Source organism: Homo sapiens, chromosome 5 (genome assembly GCF_000001405.40).
Source record: "Homo sapiens chromosome 5, GRCh38.p14 Primary Assembly".
In the NCBI taxonomy this organism is placed as follows: domain Eukaryota; kingdom Metazoa; phylum Chordata; class Mammalia; order Primates; family Hominidae; genus Homo; species Homo sapiens.
In genome coordinates, this window is record NC_000005.10 from 160,013,735 (window position 1) to 160,033,078 (window position 19,344).

A 19,344-nucleotide genomic window follows, 5' to 3' on the forward strand; every position below is an offset into this window, starting at 1 on the left:
TCTGTCTCAAAAAAAAAAAAAAAAATACTAACTAAAACATTATGTCTCATCTATCAGATCAGAATATTGATCTGATGTTGACAAGGAGAGGATGTTGGAACTCATATACTAATATTGAGAATTTAAATTGTTATGTCACTTCATGGGATGCAGATACCAAATTTTTATGTGACCATTTCTTTAGATAGGGCTATCAATAGACTCTTCTACAAGGATAGGAATGTTCTACATCCTGCACCATGCAGTATGGTAGCTGCTGACTACATCAGGCTATTGAGCACTTGAAATGTGGCTATTACGGCTGAGGAACTGAATTTTATTGTAATTAATTTAAATAGTCATACGGGATGGCTCACACCTATAATCCCAGCACTCTGGGAGGCTGAGGCAGGCAGATCACCTAAGGTCAGGAGTTCGACCCGAGACCAGCCTGGCCAACATAGTGAAACCCCATCTCTACCAAAAATTAAAAAATTAGCCAGGCCTGGTGGCGGGCTCCTGTAATCGCAACTACTCAGGAGGATGAGGCAGGAGAATTGCTTGAACCCAGGAGGTCGAGGTTGCAGTGAGCCGAGATTGGGCCATTGCACTCCAGCCTGGGAGACAAGAGCAAAACTCCGTCTCAGAAAATAAATAAATAGTCACATGGGCCAGGCATAGTGGCTCATTCCTATAATCCCAGCACTTGGGAGGCTGAGGCTGGAGGATCACTTGAGCCCAGGAGTTTGAGACCAGCCTGGGCAACATAGTGAGACCCTGTCTTTCCAAAAAAAAAAAAATTTTTTTTTAATTAAAATTTTTTAAAAAGCCTTTAAAAATAAAAATAATCACGTGTGGCACAAGCCTGTAGCCCCACCACTCAGGAGGCTGAGGTGGGAGGATCCCTGGAGCCTGGGAAGTCAAGGCTGCAGTGAGCCATGATCACGCCACTGCACCCCAGCCTGTGCAACAGAGTGAGACCTTGTCTCAAAATGAATAAATAAATAATTTTAAAATCGTCACATGTGGCTAGTAAGTACCATATTGGACATGACAGCATTAACGCTGATTCTCTTGTAGCCATTTATTTCAAGGAAATTATTAGAAATATACACAAATGTATATACATAGATGTGTTGCAGCATCATTCATAATTTTGGAAAGCTAGACAATGTTAAACAGGGTATTTGTAGTATAGTAAATTTATTTGGTCTTTGTCCCTGGTTCCTGTTACAGAGCCACTAGAACCCTTGGAATTTTCTGATAGTGTAGTGTATTTTTTTGTTATTCTTAATGTACCCCTTTTGATAACACCTGAGTTCATCCTAATGAGATAACTTTTAGGATCTGGCCTATCTATAGCCTAAGGAAGGATGGGGCCAGTCACCAAAAAGACTAAGTGATTAGAGTTTTAGAGGGTTGGAACTTTTGGCACCACCTACCAAAATCCAGGAAAGGAGGAGGGCAAGTGCTGGAGATTAAGCTCCATTAAAGCTTTTTTCTTCTTGTGTTTTGAGCCAAGTCTCGCTCTGTTGCCCAGGCTGGAGTGCAGAGGTGCGATCATAGTTCACTGGAGGCTTCAACCTCCTGGGCTCAAGCAATCCTCCTACATCAATGTCCCAAGTGGCTGGGACCACAGGCGCCTTCCACCACACCTTGCTAAATTTTTTTGTGTTTGAAATGAAGTCTTACTATGTTGCCCAGGCTGGTCTCGAACTCCTGGACTCAAGCAATATTCCCATCTCAGCTTCCCACAGTGCTAGGATTACAGGTGTGAGCTGCTGCGCCTGGCCTATAAAAACTCTTGAACTAGAAATCTGATGAGCTTCCAGGTTGATGAGCACATGGAAGTGTTAAGAGGGTAGCACCCAGAGAGGGCGTGGCAGCTCTGCACCCCTTCTCCCTCTACCTTTCCCTGTGTGTCTCTTCACCTGGCTGTTCTATATCATTCATAATGTCCTTTGTAATAAACTACTAAGTGTAAGTAAAGTGTTTCCCAGAGTTCTGTGAGCCATTCTAGCAAATTATTGAACCCACAGAGAGGGTGGTAAGAACCCTGTGCTAACCATTCAGTCGGAATCATAGGTCACAACCTGGGACTTGTGATTAGTGTCTGAAGTGGGGCCAGGCTTATGAGACTAAACTCTTAACCTGTGGGATCAGACACTGTCTACCTGGAGATAGTGACAGAACTGAATTGAATTATAGGACACTCCGTTGGTGTCCATTGGAGAATTGTTTAGTGTGGAAAACACTCTCATCTGGTGTCAGACCTATTGGGAGGGTATAGTAGGAGAGAAAAATGTGTTCTTCCCAGAGTATTACTTAAATTTTGTTGTTATATTTATGTAGTATACAATGCAGTTGTTAAAGGTAAATCTTGGCCGGGTGCAGTGGCTCATGCCTATAATCCCAGCACTTTGGGAGGCCAAGGTGGGCAGACCACTCAAGACCAGGAATTCAAGACCAGCCTGGCCAACATGGTGAAACCCCATCTCTACTAAAAATACAAAAATTAGCCAGGTATGGCGGTGCACACCTATAGTCCCAGCTACTTAGAAGGCTGAGGCACGAGAATTGCTTGAACCTAGGAGGCGGAGGTTGCAGAGAGCCGAGATCACGCCACTGCACTCCAGCCTGGGTGACAGAATGAGACTCTGTCTCAATAAATAAATAAATAATTTAAAAAATTTTTTTAAAAAGATGAATCGTAGGTATTGACCTGGGAAGCTGCCTGTAATATAATGTCAAATTAATTAATCAGGTTATACAACAGTGATGATTTCTTTTAAGGCTATGTGAAAATATGTTTATACATACAAATTTGAAGGATATACACCAAAGTATAAGCAGTAAGTAACTTTGAGAGGTATGATTATTAGGGAATTTTAATTTATATGTAATGCAATTTTGTAATATTTGCTTTTTTTTTCAGTAAGCCTGTATTACATTATTCCATTTTAAGAATATAAATAAATAAAAATTGATTACTTTACAACCAAACTGTGTGCCCTACCACAAAAGCACATGAAGCTGACCCCTGATGATTTGGGAAAGAAGTGCTATTCCGTACAGGGTCTATGTAGTATTAAAGGTTTCTTGTTGGACACAACCAAATAATAGTAGCCAAAGTCTGTTAATCAAGCTAACTTCACTTGTCCTGTGGCTGGGAAGATAATTCACGCTCAAGTGTAGTGTCACTTCTCAGCAGGACTCATAAATCAAGAATAATTGAGGAGGAAAGCAGTTAAGATTTGGTAAAAACAGGAAAAGCTCTCAGAGAGTATAGTGTATTCGTGTGTTTATTTCAGCAGTAAATCTTAACTATTTGTGAAAGCTTAAATGTAGATATAACTACCCACAGGAATGGAATTTTAGCTAACATTTGAGATGTACTAGGTATGTGAAGCAAATAACTGGTTCTGAGAGGCTTGGCTAAGGTGAAGGACAAATGTAGCAGCAGAAGAGAATTGCAATAATAACATTATGATACAAAAATTCTATCTTAGTGTGTTGGAGCTGCTATAACAAAATACCTTAGACTGGATAACTTATAAATAATAGAAATTTATTGCTCATAATTCTGGAGGCTGAGAAGTCCAAGATCAAGGTGCCAGCAATTTTAGTGTCTGGTGAGGGCCTCTTCCTTACAGATGGCACCATTTGTGTCCCTACATGGCAGCAGGGGCAGGGCAGCTCCCTTCAACCTCTTTTATTAGGACACTAATCCATTCATGAGGTTGGAACCCTTATGACTTAATCACATCCCAAAAGGACGCACCTCTTAATACCAACACAATGGGGATTATTTCAACATGAATTTTGGAGGGACACATTCAGACCATAGCAAGTGTTTATAGTATTAGGACCTATGGCACATACTGCAGAATGCTAGTATTGATTCCATAAGAAAATCGCCTTTTATGGACTGCTTGTCACAGTGCAGTTTCTTAGGTCTCATGTGTAAATTTCCTAGGTAATTCATATGCACATGCTGAGGCTTGAGGACCACTGTCACAGGTTTTGCACAATCTTCCTTCATTAAATAGCTGTTGAATGAATAGCATCTTTTTCTCCCCCATGAGAGCCAATAATTGGCCTTATAAGTTACAGAAATTTTTTTCTCACATTTATTCAAGTAATATTTACATTTCTTCCACCCACTAGACATTGTTTGAGGCCCTGAGGGATACAGTGGTGAACAAGACAGGGTTTCTGTTCTCTCATTGGAGAATTAGGACAAAATGTTAACATGAAGGATGGGTTGGGTTGGAAGGATGGTGCTATGGTTTGAATGTTTTCCTCCAAAATTCATGTTGAACTTAATCCTCAATGTGTAGTATTAAGAGGTGGAGCCTTTAGAAGGTGATTAGAAGAATTAGTATCCTTATAAAGTATACCAATAAAAGACTTGAGGGAACCTGTTGGGCCCTTCTACTCCCCTTCCACAAAGTGAGGATGCAGAAAGAAGGCACCATATTGAAGCAAAGAACAAGCCCCTTACCAGACGCGAAATCTGCTGGTGCCTTGATCTTGGAATTTCCAGCCCCTAGAGCTGTGCAAAATAAATTTCTATTATTTATAAATTACTGAGTCTGTTATTTTGTTATAGCAACCTGACTAAGACAGGTGGAGAGGACTGCTTTAGATTGGCTGGTCAGGAAAGCCTCTCTGGAGAGGTGGCCTCTCAACAGAGACTTAGGGGAGGGTGGCACTGGGAGCAGCCAAATGTGTGACCGTCTGAGAGGGAAGCATTGCAGACAAAGAGAGCAGTTGAATAAAGCCCTAAAGTAACAACAAGTTTGGTGTTTTGGCATGTTCAAGGAATGGAAGAGCCGATGGCTGAAGCATGATGATTAAGGAAGAGAGTGGGCTGATAGTAGGCAAGGGTCTGATTATGGAATAGTTCCTAAGCCGTAGTAAAGAACTTGAAGTTTTTTCCAAGTGCAGAAGGAAACAGATGGATAATTTTAAGCCAGGGAGAGACGGAAGTTATTTACATTTTAATAAGAGAATTCAGTTCTTATACAGAGAATGGAGGGGTATGAGGATGGAGGAGGGACATGAATAGAACATTTGAGCCCAATTAGGCTCTAATGCAGTAGCCCAGTGAAGATGATAGTAGCTTGAACTGTGGATCTGAAGAGAAGTGTATGATTTTGGGATATATTTCAGAGGTAAAGCAGACCACACATTGCAGTGGATTCGATTGGCGGGATGGAGTGAGACGTTAGAATGATTCCTTGTCTTCAGCTACTGGATGGATGGTGTGGCCTTTATTAATATGAAGAAGATGAAGGAACTTTGAACTTATCCAGGTTCTGGTGATTTAATTCTTTCCTGCAAACAAACATTTTTTATTTGTAAGCCAAAATGCAGATTTAGTCATTTCAATGGGTTTGCTCCCTTTCACTAGTGGTTTGCAAATGGTATTCATTTACATGTACACATAAGGGATCCAAAAGTCTGTTGCTTGGTGAACATGGATTCAGAATGCCTGGTATCTGGGATTTTAAAACATTAGGCTCTGAAAGTTTTAAGGATTATTCTTTAAGGTCATTTTCTCTTTAGGAACCATTATCAAAGCTTAGAAGTTTCAGTTTAGAACAGATGTTATATTTCAGTCTCTTCCCTCTGTCATTTTTCCTAAATTCCACATTACTTAATCTTTTGGATTTCCATGTTTCTGCCACCCTATTGCACCATTTTCATAATCTAATTAATGTTGTGGCTGTGGATGTGTTTGCAGGGAATACTCTCGATTGCTTCCAAAAAGTTCTCAGTAACTTCTTCCATAGTGGCCTGCATAGTCCTGTTAACGTCATGAGCAACCTTTCTGATTTTGTTGTTTCCCTTTTCTTTCATTCTTTTTTTTTTTTTTTTTTTTTTTGAGATGGATATTCCCTCTCTGTTGCCCAAGCTGGAGTGCAGCGGTGCGATCTCTGCTCACTGCAACCTCCGCCTCCCGGATTCAAGCGATTCTCTCTCTGCCTCCCGAGTAGCTGGGGCTACAGGCGTGTGCCACCACACCCAGCTAATTTTTGTATTTTTACTAGAGACTGGGTTTCACCATATTGGCCAGGCTGGTCTCGAACTCACATCATGATCCACCCACCTCGGCCTCCCAAAGTTCTGGGATTATAGGCATGAGCCACTGTGCCCTGCCTCCTGCCTCCCTTTTCTTTCATTTCTTGTTTTCTTTTTGTTGTTGTTGTTTTCTGTTTGTTTATTTTGAGACAGAGTCTTGCCCTGTCGCCCAGACTGGAGTACAGTGGCATGATCTTGGTTCACTGCAACCTCTGCCTCCCAGGTTCAAGTGATTCTCCTGCCTCAGCCTCCCAAGTAGCTGGGATTACAGGTGCCCACCACCACACCCAGCTAATTTTTGTATTTTTAGTAGAGACGGAGTTTCACCATGTTGGCCAGGCTGGTCTCGAACTCCTGACCTCAAGTGATCCGCCCGCCCCAGCCTCCTTTTCTTTCATTTCTAATAGGCATCCTTTGGAACTAAGGTGGTCAGTTTTACCAACTTCTTAGAGTTACCACTGTTGAACTTAATGCTGTCTACAAACGATTAAATCAAATCCTAGAAGGAGCTTAGATTTCTGATCCCAAGTTTGTTTATTTTTATTTTTGTAGAGGCCCTTTCACTTGGCCTCCCAAAGTGCTGGGATTACAGGAATGAACCACCCTGCCTGGCCTGATGCTAAGTTTAAACCAGTGGAAATAAGGGTTGCTTGCTCTAAAACAGGGGTCGTCAACCCCCGGCCATGTACTGATACCAGTCTGTGGCCTGTAAGGAACCCAGCCACACAGCAGGAAGTGAGCAGCAGGCTAGTGAGCGAAGCTTCATCTGTATTTACAGCCACTTCCCATCGCTTGCATTACTGTCTGAGCTCCACCTCATGTCATATCCATGGTAGCATTAGATTCTCGTAGGCTTGTGAACCCTGTTGTGAATTGCACATGCAAGGGATCTGTGTTGCCTGCTCCTTACAAGAATCTAATGCCTGATAGTCTATCACTGTCTCTCATCACCCCCAGGTAGGACCGTCTAGTTGCAGGAAAACAAGCTTAGGGCTCCCACTGATTCTACATTATGGTGAATTGTATAACTATTTGATTATATATTACAGTTTAATAATTATAAAGTACACAATAAATGTAATGTGCTTGAATCATTATGAACACCCCCTTCCCCAAGACCCTAGTCCGTGGAAAAATAGTTCCCCACAAGAGCAGTCCCTGGTGCCAAAAAGGGTAGGGACCGCTGCTCTAAAACATTTGGAAGTTAGTGAGGTGTGTTTACATTATTTGCTGGCAGAAAAGTTAAAATGACGTTCAGTATTTCCTGTGTTTATTAAGAAAGGTCACTTTGTGTAGATCAGTGGTTTCCAGACTTTATTGTGTCTAAGCATCACAGGAAATGTATTAACCATGCACAGCCTGAGAAGTGTCTGACACCACACACCTGTGAGGCAACAACCAGGCATCTGTTTTGTTAGCAAGCCTCCCAGGTAATTTTGATATAGGAAGAACTGTGGCCACACCATGGGAAACAGATCCAGATGGACACAGATGACTAAGCTTCCAAAACAAGAAGTATTGACCTAACCCGTACATTGACTGCATCCAACATCGGAAGAACTGAATAGGAGGTTTTCTTTTACCTACATCCGTTGATCAAGGTCTAAAAACAACTTGTTGGGCCGAATTTAAGCAGTCCTGACATAGAAAATTTATTTCTGTTAAAGATTGAGTTTTGGGAAATAGAATTTTCTGATTTAAGAAACAAGGGACTATTTCCAAGATTAATTCCTCATAGATCAGTCATTTTTTTCCTCAGAAGGATAACACCTACTGAGAGGCAGGTTCTAACTGTGGCTTAGATCCAAAGATCCTCCCTCATGCCTCCCTAGAGGACCTGTAAAGGTGACTTGTGGAAAGAACAGATATGTCTTTATGTATGTAAAGCAAGTGATATCTGATTTCAAAGAAGACAAAACCAAAAGCTTATTTTTTTAATGATAAGGAATTCCCTTCAAAATAATTATAGAACTGATGTCCCTAGCCCTTCCAGTATTTGCATTCCAAGTGTAGTTTTCTTGTCCCACCTAGATAAGACTAAAGCAGAAAGTTTTGTTGCATGTGCCTCCACTTTCCAGCAGTTGAGCAAGTATGTACCTCTCTTTACGCTCTCTTTTACTCCAGCTATTGATCTCTGGGTACTGTGATCCCTGGGTACTGTGCTTGGCATAAAGTGTATGCCGTTTTATTTTGTAGCAATTACTTCACAAAACTGCAGAGGGCAGCAGAGAGCTGCTGATAGATTTATAATATGGACATAAGCTTGCCGGAGTGAGAGTCTTGGTTTTCCCCCTGTTTGTCTGTTGAGCACATGCTTACCATAGGATTATTTAAATATGAGATTATTTTTTAAATGTATTTCATGCAAGTTTTTAACTATTTAATAATGATAGATGGGGTATACACTTATAAGCTCAAAGTCAAGTGTGTTTATGTTGTATTCACTGACCTAAAGTAAAAGAAATACCCTACTCAGCCACTGCATTGTAGTCTGCTGAAGAGTGGTTTATTTATAAGGGACTAGAGAAGCACTTTCTAACATTTTGCCATGCTACCCAGGATTTTAAATTATATCAGTTGAAGTTCTCTAGCTTGGATTTTTGGGTTTTTTGGAGGGTGGTTTTTTTGTTGTCAATTAAAAAATTATATTCAAGCTACTTCTAATATTTTAAGAAAGTGAATCAATCCATTTGAAGCTCTTAGCACAATGTTTGGCACATAATAAGTATTATGAGTTTTAGCTCATTGAATGAGTTACACAGCCATGGAATCAGGCATCTAATATAGTATAGGTAATTAAGCAGATAGGGGTACTATGTTAGTAAATAGGAAATTACAAGGTAAGATTATAGCCAAGTCATGGATATTTGCTTTACAGGAAGACTCTTCACTTAGCAATAGTAGCATACCATTTCCATTTTTCATCCTAACTAGTATTTACAGTAATTTGTCTTCTTTATAGAATATCTTCTTTATGTAAAGAAGTTTATAATATTTAAATCCTTGATTTGCTAATTTTATTCAGAAAGGACACTTGTAATAGTTTCCACCTTTATTTCTTTGTTAGTTAAATGAAAATTAACCCACATATGCTACAGATTCGGGGTAATTCTAGAAATTGAGTTATTCATTCAGCAGACATTTGTTAGTACCTGCAATTAATAGACAAAATTGGCCGGGTGCAGTGGCTCACGCCTGTAATCCCAACACTTTGGGAGGCCGAGGTGGGCGGATCACCTGAGGTCAAGTTTAAGACCAGCCTGACCAACAAGGTGAAACCCCATCTCTACTAAAAATACAAAAAAAATAGCAGGGCCTGGTGGTGTGCGCCTATAATCCCAGCTACTCAGGAGGCTGAGGCAGGAGAATCACTTGAACCCGGTAGGCGGAGGTTGCAATGAACTGAGATTGCATCACTGCACTCCAGCCTGGGCAACAGAACAAAACACTGTCTCAAAAAAAAAAAAAAAATTAGGCAAAATTGGTTTTCTTTCTTTTTTTTTTTTTTGGAAATAGAGTTTTGCTCTGTTGCCCAGGCTGGAGTGCAGTGACGCAATCATGGCTCATTGTAACCTCTACCTCTGGGGCTCAAGTGATCCTTCCCCCTCAGCCTCCCAAATAGCTGGGACTACAGGCATAAGCCACCACGCCCAGCTAATTTTTTTTATTTTTAGGAGAGACACGGTCTTGCTGTGTTGCCCAGGCTGAAGTTTTCTTGAAGAATATGGTTTTCTCTGTCAAGAAACTTATAATTCAGCTAGGGAGACATGTAACTCTGCTTACCTTTTTATTTTAGGTAGTTTCGTGTTTTATCACGAAACAGATCCAGATGGACACAGGTGACTAAGCTTCCAAATACAAGGCTCAATGGGGACAAAGCCGTGTGCACAAGGCATGTCACATGTTGCCTAATCTTTCCACTCCTATGTGCTTCTTCTTGTGCTTCTTCTTTTTCTTCTTCTTTGCTGCCTTGCTGTCTTTTGATGTGTGCCTTGCCCTCTTGCCTGTATCATTCTCAGAGTCTGAGCTGTCAGAGTCAGATGACTTCCAATTCTTTTTCTTCTCCTCCTTTCTTTTTCTAGAAGGATTCCTTGTGGGGTCAGGCTTCTCAAACTCTGCTGACTTTGCCTCTTCCTTTTCCTCTTCCTCATCAGGTATCAGAGAGTATTTGGTCCCACCTGGTTGCATGAAACAATCTTTTGCAAAGTGGCCTTTACAGCCACACTTCTTGCAGGTAGTGTTCAATCAATATACTCTGGTTAGCATGTAAGTGTGGGGGGATGGGCAATGGGTAGAGCCTTCTCTGTGCTGTGTACATAGCACAGTGCCTACACATTCTGTGCCATAAGTATGTTGAAAAACTCTCATTACTGAGGTAGGGGTTTAATGTCCTTACTGGAGACTATATTTAGCTCTTGAAAGATAAAAATTATTTCCCAGGTGGAGAGTTCTATTTTAACTTTTTATTTTTGAAATAACATTTTTCAGAAAGTAGCAAAAAATAGATTCCAGCTTCCCTTAATTTTAACAGCTTACATATCCATAGTGCAGTTATCAAAACCAGGAAATAAACATTATTACAACACTATAAACTGCAGACCTTATTCAGATTTCATCACATTTTCCATGAACATCATCTTTTCTGTTCCAGGATCCACTGCATTTAGTTTTCATGTTGCCTTAGTTTTCTCTAGTTGATGACAGTTCCTTTATCTTTTTTAAGAGAGACAGAGTAGCCCAAGCTGGAGCACAGTGGCATAATGATAGCTTACTGCAGCCTCAAACTTACGGGCTCAAGTGATCCTCCTGCCTCAGCCTCCCTCATAGCTGGGAATACAGGGGCTTGCCATCACACCCAGCTAAATTTTTTTTTTTTTTTCAGGATATGGGGTTTTGCTTTGTTGCCCCGGTTGGTCTCAAACTCGTGCTCAAGTGATGCTACCACCTCAAGAGTAACAGTAATAATAATAGAACAGCCTAAGTCCTGTGGTCCAAGCCCTTGATTCAGTGAGGAAGAGGTTTGTTTTTGTTTTGTTTTGCTTTGTTTTTTTGAAACCAGGTCTTGCTCTGTCCCCCAGGCTGGGGTGCAGTGGCACGATTCCATAATTCCACTGTAGCCTCAAATTCCTGGGCTCCAGTGATCCTCCCACCTCAGCCTCCAGAGTAGCTGGGACTGCAGGCATGAGCCATCATGCCCAGCTAATTTTTGTATTTTTATTTTTATTTTTTTGTTTTGTTTGTTTTTGAGACGAAGTCTCACTCTGTCACCCAGGCTGAAGTGCAGTGGTGCAATCTCAGCCCACTGCAACCTCTGCCTCCCAGGTTCTGGTGATTCTCCTGCCTCAGCCTCCCAAGTAGCTGGGATTACAGGCGCCTGCCACCACACCTGGCTAATTTTTATATTTTTAATAGAGATGGGGTTTGACCATGTTGGCCAGGCTGGTCTCGAACTCCTGACCTCAGGCAATCCACCTGCCTTGGCCTCCCAAAGTGCTGGGATACAGGTATGAGCCACCGCACCTGGCCTAATTTTTGTTTTTTAGTAGAGACGGGGTTTTGCCATGTTGCCCATGCTGGTCTCAAACTCTTGAGCTCAAGCAATCCACCCTCCTTGGCCTCCCAAAGTGCTGGGATTACAGGTATGGGCTACCACACCAAGTGAGATTTATTTTTAACATAGGTCTCGAAATGACTATAGGTCAGAGCTCTGGAACTGAATAACATGTTTTGGAGCAGTGTCATCCCCTTTTCAAATGCCCTAGTTCTTGACACCAAGGGAATTAAAAGTGACTTTTTCTTTAGAACTATGAAGCATATAAGTTCTGTGAGTTCACCTTTTTGCAGCAGCTTCTGTGCATTACTCAGTTCTACTTCCTGCAAACAATTCTTTATTTCCACACCTGTGGAAGACAGTATGGTCTTGTAGTTAAGAGGATGAACTTTGTTGTTTTGTTTTGTTTTGCTTTGCTTTGCTTTGTTTTATTTAAAAGATAGGGTCTAGCTTCGTTGCCAGTGCAACTCCTGGGCTCAAGCGATTCTCCCACCTCAGTCCCTCAAGTACTTGGGACTATAGATGTGCACCACCTCACCTAAAAATATGAACTTGGAAATGTTAGATCTGTCCTAGCTCTATCATTTAACTTGGCGTAAAGTGGGATCATAAGGATTAAATGATTAGCAGGTAAAAGCAATCCGGAACTGTTAACTATAGCTAGTAAGTCAGAATTCGGTGAGCATAGACCATAAAATATTTCAGGTCTAGAATAGAACTTAGAAGAGCTCTTTAAAAATCATTTTTAGATACTTGGTTTTCTAAAGGTTGCAAGCATACATTCCACAGTGTTATAGAAGTATGACAACCTCAATTATTTAGCTCCTTCAAGTTATGAAGAAAAGTTGTTTGGCTAGGGATGTCGGGGTGAGAGAATTTAGAAAGGAGTACACTGGAAGCTTCTGAGGTTCTGGCAGTGTTCTCTATCTTAATTTGTATAGTAGTTTTGTGAATGTATATTTTGCAACAGTGTACTAAGCTGTACATTTCTGTATGTTTTTCCATATGTATTGTACCTCTGGTTGTTTAAAGAATTTCTGATATTGGGGTATTGAAATCTTCAACTAATGTTGTATTGTCTGTTGCTCCTCTGAATTCAGTCAGTTTTTCCTTTATATATTTTATGGTTCTGCTGTTAGATACGAATACACTTATAGTTGTTATATTTTCCCAATTTGTTGACCTTTTTACCGTTATGAAATATCCCCTTTTTTGGTCTCCAGTAATGTATCTTGTCTTAAAGCCTGTTTTGTCTGATAGCACTTCAGCTACTTAAGGTTGCTGTTTACACAGTATCTTTTTTTTATACTTTTATTTTCAACCTGTATATGTCTTTGAATGTAAAGTATGCATCCTATAGTCAACATATAATTGAATCTTTTTAAATCCAGTGTGATAATCTCTGCTCTTTGAGTTGTTTAGTCCATTCATATTTTATCTGCTTGTTGATATGTTTGGATTTACATTAGTCATTTGTCTTTTACAAGTCTCATGTGTTCTTTATTCCTGTTTTTTACTGCCTCTTTTTGTATTAGATAATATTTTCTGCATGCTATTTTAATACTTTGGATTTTATTAACTATGCTTACTTTTTAGCTATTTTCTTAGTGGTTGCTGTAGGAATTGTAATGCACATCTTTTTATAGTCTACTTTAGTTTTTCGGGATTCTTTTTTTTTTTTCTTTTTCTTTTTTTGAGACAGGGTCTCACTTTGTTGCCCAGGCTGGAGTACAGGGGTGCAATCATGGATCACTGCGGCCTCCACCTCCCTGGGCTCAGGTGATCCTCCCACCTCAGCCTCCTGAGTAGCTGGACTACAGGTGCACACCACCATGCCCAGCTAATTTTTGTATTTTTTGTACAGATGGGGTTTTGCCGTGTTGCCTAAGCTGTTCTCAAACTCCTGAGTTCAAGCGATCTGCCTACCTTGGCCTCCCAAAGTGCTGAAATTACTGGCAGGAGCCACTGTGCCCAGCCCTACTTTAGTTTAATAGTACCTAATTTCAGTGAAATATATTGATAGAAGCTTTGCTTTAGCATAGCTCCATTTCCTCTCCTCCACTTCGAACTATCGTTGTCATGTACATTTTATCAATATATGTTGTAAACCTAACCACTGAGTGTCATAATTACAGCTTTTTATAATCTTTTGTCTTTTAAAGAAATTAAAGAAGAGAGAAAATAATATTAGAGTCTTATATCTGCTTACCGTTTCTGATGTTCTTCATTTCCTCCTGTGGTTTTGAGTGACCATCTACTGTCATTTCCTCCAGCCTGAAGGACTTTAATATATTTGTGAGGCAGGTTTCACAGCAGTAAATTTTCTTTGTTCATTGTGAAAGTCTTTATTTTTCCTTCATCTTGAGGTAGTTTTGTTAAATGTATAATCTTTGTTGAAAATTTTTCTCATTCACATTTTAAGTATATCATTACACTGCCTTCTGGCCTCCACTGTTCTGGTGAGAAGTCAGAAATTAATAGTCTTGTTCTCTTCTATCATTTTTCTCTTGTGGCTTTCACATTTTCTCTTTGTCTTTTTCTCTCACCACTCTGATACTCTGGTGTCTTCAGATGTAGATCTTCTATTCTACTTGAGGTTCACTGAGATGAGCTTCTTGGATCTTTAGATTAACATTTTTCATCAAAATTTTAAAGTTATCAGCCTTGGCCGGGCGCGGTGGCTCATGCCTTTAATCCCAGCACTTTGAGGGGCCGAGGCGAGTGGATCACGAGGTCAGGAGATCGAGACCATCCTGGCTAACATTGTGAAACTCTGTCTCTACTAAAAGTACAAAAAATTGGCCTGGTGTGGTGGCAGTTGCCTGTAGTCCCAGCTACTCGGGAGGCTGAGGCAGGAGAATGGCGTGAACCCGGGAGGCGGAGCTTGCAGTGAGCCAAGATCACACCACTGCACTCCAGCATAGGCGACAGAGCAAGACTCCGTCTCAAAAAAAAAAAAAAAAAAAGTTATCAGCCTTTATTTCTTCAGATATTTGTTCTGTTCTTCTCTTTCTTCCCTTCTTCTGGGTCTTCCATTCATGTCAAGAGGGCCCTGTTCATTTTTCTTCAGTCTTTTTGTTTTCATTCTTTGGCTTGGATAATTTCTTTCGATACAACTTCAAGTTTACTTATTCTTTTTATTTTTATTTTGAAGCAAGGTCGCACTCTGTCACCTAGGCTATAGTGCAGTGGCACAATCATGGCCTCAACTTCCTGGGCTCAAGCGATCCTCCCACCTCAGCCTCCAGAGTAGCTGAAACCACAGGTGCGCACCACCACACATGGCTAATTTTTTTGGCTTTTTGCTAGAAACAGGGTTTCGCCATGTTGCCCAGAATGGTCTAAACTCCTGACTCAGCCAGTTCGCCCACCTCGACCTCCCAAAGTACTGGGATTACAGGTGTGAGCTACTGCCCCTGGCCTGCCCAGTTTTGTGGTTGGCTTTAGGGAAAAGGATTTGACAACCTCCTTACTTCACCACATCAGAAATTCCACCTATTTTTGAACTGTATAAATAATTTTTTTAATTTTCAAAAAATCAGAAAAGATGAGAAAAAAACTAAGCCTTAAAATTGACCATAAACAGAAACAAGTTAACATAACAATCATGAATAGATTATATAGAAAAGATAATTCCATTAACTTTGGACACAGACTCTTGACTGCAACAAAACCTTGAACTTTACATAGTAGGTTCATTGTTGGTAATGATATTTGTATAGTAATTTTGGAACTCTTGTTTCTTGTAGGATAGAGCAAATTAGTAAAGTGGCTATTCTGAGAACCAGAGTTTTCACTGTGGAGGAATGTGAGGAAGAATCCTGGGTTGTTGGATTTCACTTGTATGTGTTCTTTTGACTCATAAGGGTTTCATTTTGTTTAAGATGTATTTCCTGGGTTTCTTCACTGAAAGGGCCTAAAAGGAGTAATACCCTAGTAACAGTGAACACACTAACACCCAGATCTTTGTTTCTAAACACTATTCCACACTAAAAGAATCCAGGACTCGGCTGAATGGGGTGGCTCATACCTGTAATCTCAGCACCTTGGGAGGCTCTGGTGGGAGGATCACTTGAGCCCAGGAGTTTAAGACCAGCCTAGGCAACATAGTGAGACCCCCCCATCTCTACAAAAAAAAAAAAAAAAAATAGCTAGGCGTGGTGGTGTGCACCTGTGGTCCTAGGTACTGGGGAAGCTGAGGTGGGAGGATTGCTTGAGCCCAGGAGGTTGAGGCTGCAGTGAGCCATGATCTCTTTAGCCTGGGTAGTAAAGCGAGACCCTGACTATAAATAAATAAATAAGTAAAAATTGATCTAGGACTCCTTGGAGATATGGCAAAGTACAGAATACAAAGTACAAAGTACAAAGATATGGAGGTAGGCAAAGTACAGAATACTACACCTGGAATATTATGTAAACCTGCAACAAAGTTCACCCTTGGGAGAATAAACCCAGGTAAAATGCCCATGCAGATCCTGGAAGTGGGCTAGGGAGGCTTGAACTGGAAATCCTAGAGAACTCAGTACCTGGAGCATAGTTTAAAAGGGCCGTATGGGATATGGGTGGGGCCCACCAGAGAGGAGGGCCTTGACAGGAGCCTCTTCTGCCCAGGTCTGAGGGCCAAAAAGCGCTCTACAACACATGAAACCATTTAAGCATTAAGTAACACTCCAAATTTTTTGCAGTGCTTTTATTGTGTTTATAATTTAAAACAATCTGTGAGGCAGAATTGAATTACAAAATCAAAAGCAGTATGTACAGTCTGCATTCAAAGAAAGGTAATGTGGGAAAAGAACTGAAAGGTGGCCCCAGGGAGGAGCTGTGGTTTGTACTAGACTTTGAAAACTACAGAAAATTTGGTGTTAGAGAATTAGGAGGAGGATATGGAAGAGTTATTCCATGGAAGGACATGGGGGACACATAAGCAAACAAATGGAATGAGGGATAAGCATGGTAAGCTCTGAGAGACAATAGTGAGATCAGACTGTCTAGCAGAGAGGACTTGTGTTGCATAGCTTGAGTAGGTTGGAATAGAAGCTTGATGTAGTGTGAACAAGAGATTTCTGAATCTTGATTTTTCTCGTCTGTAAAATGAGTCAAGACCTCCATGCCCACCTCTCAAAATTATCTTGAAAAACAAATGAGCTGATGTATGTGACAGCAGATTTTCAGCAGTGAAGCGCTGTACTGGTATAGGTTGTAATGAATTTTGAATACCATGTTGAGAAGTTTACAGTTGTGGTAGTAACTGTTGAAATAAACTCCGTTCATCAAGAGCATTGGCTGTTTGGGGCTCTCCTTGGCAGTTCCTGTGATGATTTACAATGCAGGATAATGTCACTGTTTCCCCCTAAGTTTTCAGTGATGGAGAAGAAAGTACTGAGTAAACAGCCCTATAAAATTTCTTTGGTTTCCATTTCTATGGAAGTATAATTCAAGATCAGATGTTTCCCTGTGAGGCCTCTCTGGAATGTGTTAAAAGGCATTGTGGAGGTATGTAAGGGTTTTAACCACATTAGAAGCTTCTGTTCATAGAACAGAACCTGGAAAGACTTTCCTCTGATAGTGCTGCAGAATATCAGCACTGCCAGCTCACATATGTGTGAATGCTCCTGGCACCTAGCACGCTAAGGAAGACCTATACACTATCTATCATATCTATCCTTGGATTCCAATAATATTGTACTATATACCTGTCATCCTTTGGAGAAAGAATGTATTCAGCAGAAAAAAACTCCAGTCTTTGTACTGGGATCATCAATTCAGTCTCGGCACAGCTGGGAAATAGTTCAACTTTCTCCTCAAAGTGCTATTTTTAGCTGTTTCCAAGGAGATGTTCAGCATGATACTGATAATTGCATTACTCTTAATTTGCACAATCTGTGGAGAGGGAAGCAGCAGTTCTTTTTCAATGTTTACTACTCAGTGGGCCACTGGGTTGTGATTTATCCGTTGAAACAATAGGATGCCTCACTTAGAATAATTGACCTTAGCTCACACCTGTAATCCCAGAACTTTGGGAGGCCAAGGCAGGTGAATCACTTGAGGCCTGGAGTTCAAGACCAGCCTGGGTAACATGGCAAAACCCCCATCTCTACTAAAAATACAAAAAATTAGCCAGGTGTGGTGGTGCATGCCTGTAAACACAGCTACTCGGGAGGCTGAGGCACAAGAATCACTTGAATCTGGGAGGCAGAGGTTGCAGTGAGCCAAGATCATGCCACTGCACTCCAGACTGGGTGATGGAGTGAGACTCTGTCTCAAAAAAAATAAATAAATAAATAAAAAATAACCTCAGAATTACATTCTGGAGCCTTTCGCTTTGCTACCTCAACTTTCAGTCCTTCAAGTTATAAAGGCAAGATGAGGGCTGGGCACACTGGCTCACACCTATAATCCCAACACACTAGGAGGCTGAGATGAGAAGACTGCTTGAGCCCAGGAGTTCAAGACCAACCTGGCCAACACAGTAAGACCCCATCTCTACTAAAAACAGAAAGAAATTACCTAGGGGCAGTGGTGCTTGCTTATAGTCCCCGCTACTCAAAAGGATTGCTTGAGTCCAGGAGTTCAAGTTTACAGTAAACTCTTATGGTGCCACTGCACTCCAGCCTGGGCAACAGAAGGAGACCTTGTCTCTGAAAATAAAAATAAAGACATGGTAAGTATTTCTCGAGCTGGCTGCTCAGGCCGGCCCGTAGCACTGATTCCTTTCTGTATACTTGAGACGTGGTTTTGCCCATTGGGAACTTGATGTTATAAATTTCCCAAAGAATGATTGGTCTCCTAAAACATGAACACACATACACACGCTTACTTCACAAGAGCCTAATCCGGCAATCTGATTGATTCATCTGTGTTCATAGAATATTCCTAATGAGTTGGCTCTGAAGAGAAGATTATAGATCAGAAAATAGCTTAAGATTTACAGTCAATGCTAAAGAAATTGAAAACTCTTAAAGAGTGGGCATTAAGATCTAGTAACTTGATGATTTAACCCCTCTCTAAAGAATTTGTTTCTTAAATAACTGTTAACTGAATTTGTTATGTTGTCTTGGCTCTCCAACATCCAACACCCCTTCCTATTTGGAGGAATTCTCTTGTGTTGTGATCTTGTTGAGTGGCAGTACCCCATGTCTCTCACTTCATCCTCTGATAACCAAGGCTTGTGATCGATGCTTGGTATATTAGATGCTTCTGACCAAGATCTTAAATCTAGATTGAGTGAAGCAAAGACAATGGAATGGTTAGAGTTGATTTGCTGTCATTGCAGCCCTGTCCTGGCAAGTCTTTCACTAAAAGACATGCATTCTGCTTCTTAACAGAGCCTCCTTGAGTTCTACCTGCTTTCTTTTTTTTTTTTTTTTTTTTTTTTTTTTTTGAGACGGAGTCTCACTCTGTCGCCAGGCTAGAGTGCAGTGGCGCGGCCTTGACTCACTCCAGCCTCCGCCTCCCAGGTTCGAGTGATTCTCCTGCCTCAGACTCCTGAGTAGCTGGGACTACAGGCGCCTGCCACCACACCCAGCTAATTTTTTTTTTTGGGGGGGTATTTTTAGTAGAGACAGGGTTTCACTATGTCGGCCAGGATGGTCTCAATCTCTTGACCTCATGATCTGCCTGCCTCAGCCTCCCAAAGTGCTGGGATTACAGGCGTGAGCCACCACGCCCAGCCAAGTTCTACCTGCTTTCTAAGCCTATTCGTTAAGCCTCTCACTGATTCTGTGAGC

The 19,344-nt window shown here is 41.0% G+C and overlaps 1 protein-coding gene and 1 long non-coding RNA gene across 3 annotated transcripts in view, besides 1 other annotated feature; both read left to right on the forward strand.

The window, feature by feature from the left end:
- Positions 1–19,344, forward strand: part of TTC1 (tetratricopeptide repeat domain 1) — a 56,405-nt gene that overhangs the window by 4,596 nt on the left and 32,465 nt on the right. The window lies entirely within an intron of this gene.
- On the forward strand, positions 925–13,802 carry LOC124901124 (uncharacterized). The gene is made up of 2 exons (XR_007059025.1): positions 925–5,297; positions 9,863–13,802. It is a non-coding gene; the product is annotated as an uncharacterized LOC124901124 (long non-coding RNA).
- Positions 14,787–14,954: a silencer, noted in NCBI's record as "fragment chr5:159455528-159455695 (GRCh37/hg19 assembly coordinates)". NCBI's record gives its function as "represses an EF-1alpha promoter that drives an FKBP-Casp9 reporter gene in an ReSE screen in K562 erythroleukemia cells {active_cell/tissue: K562}" and the evidence as "EXISTENCE:reporter gene assay evidence [ECO:0000049][PMID:32094911]".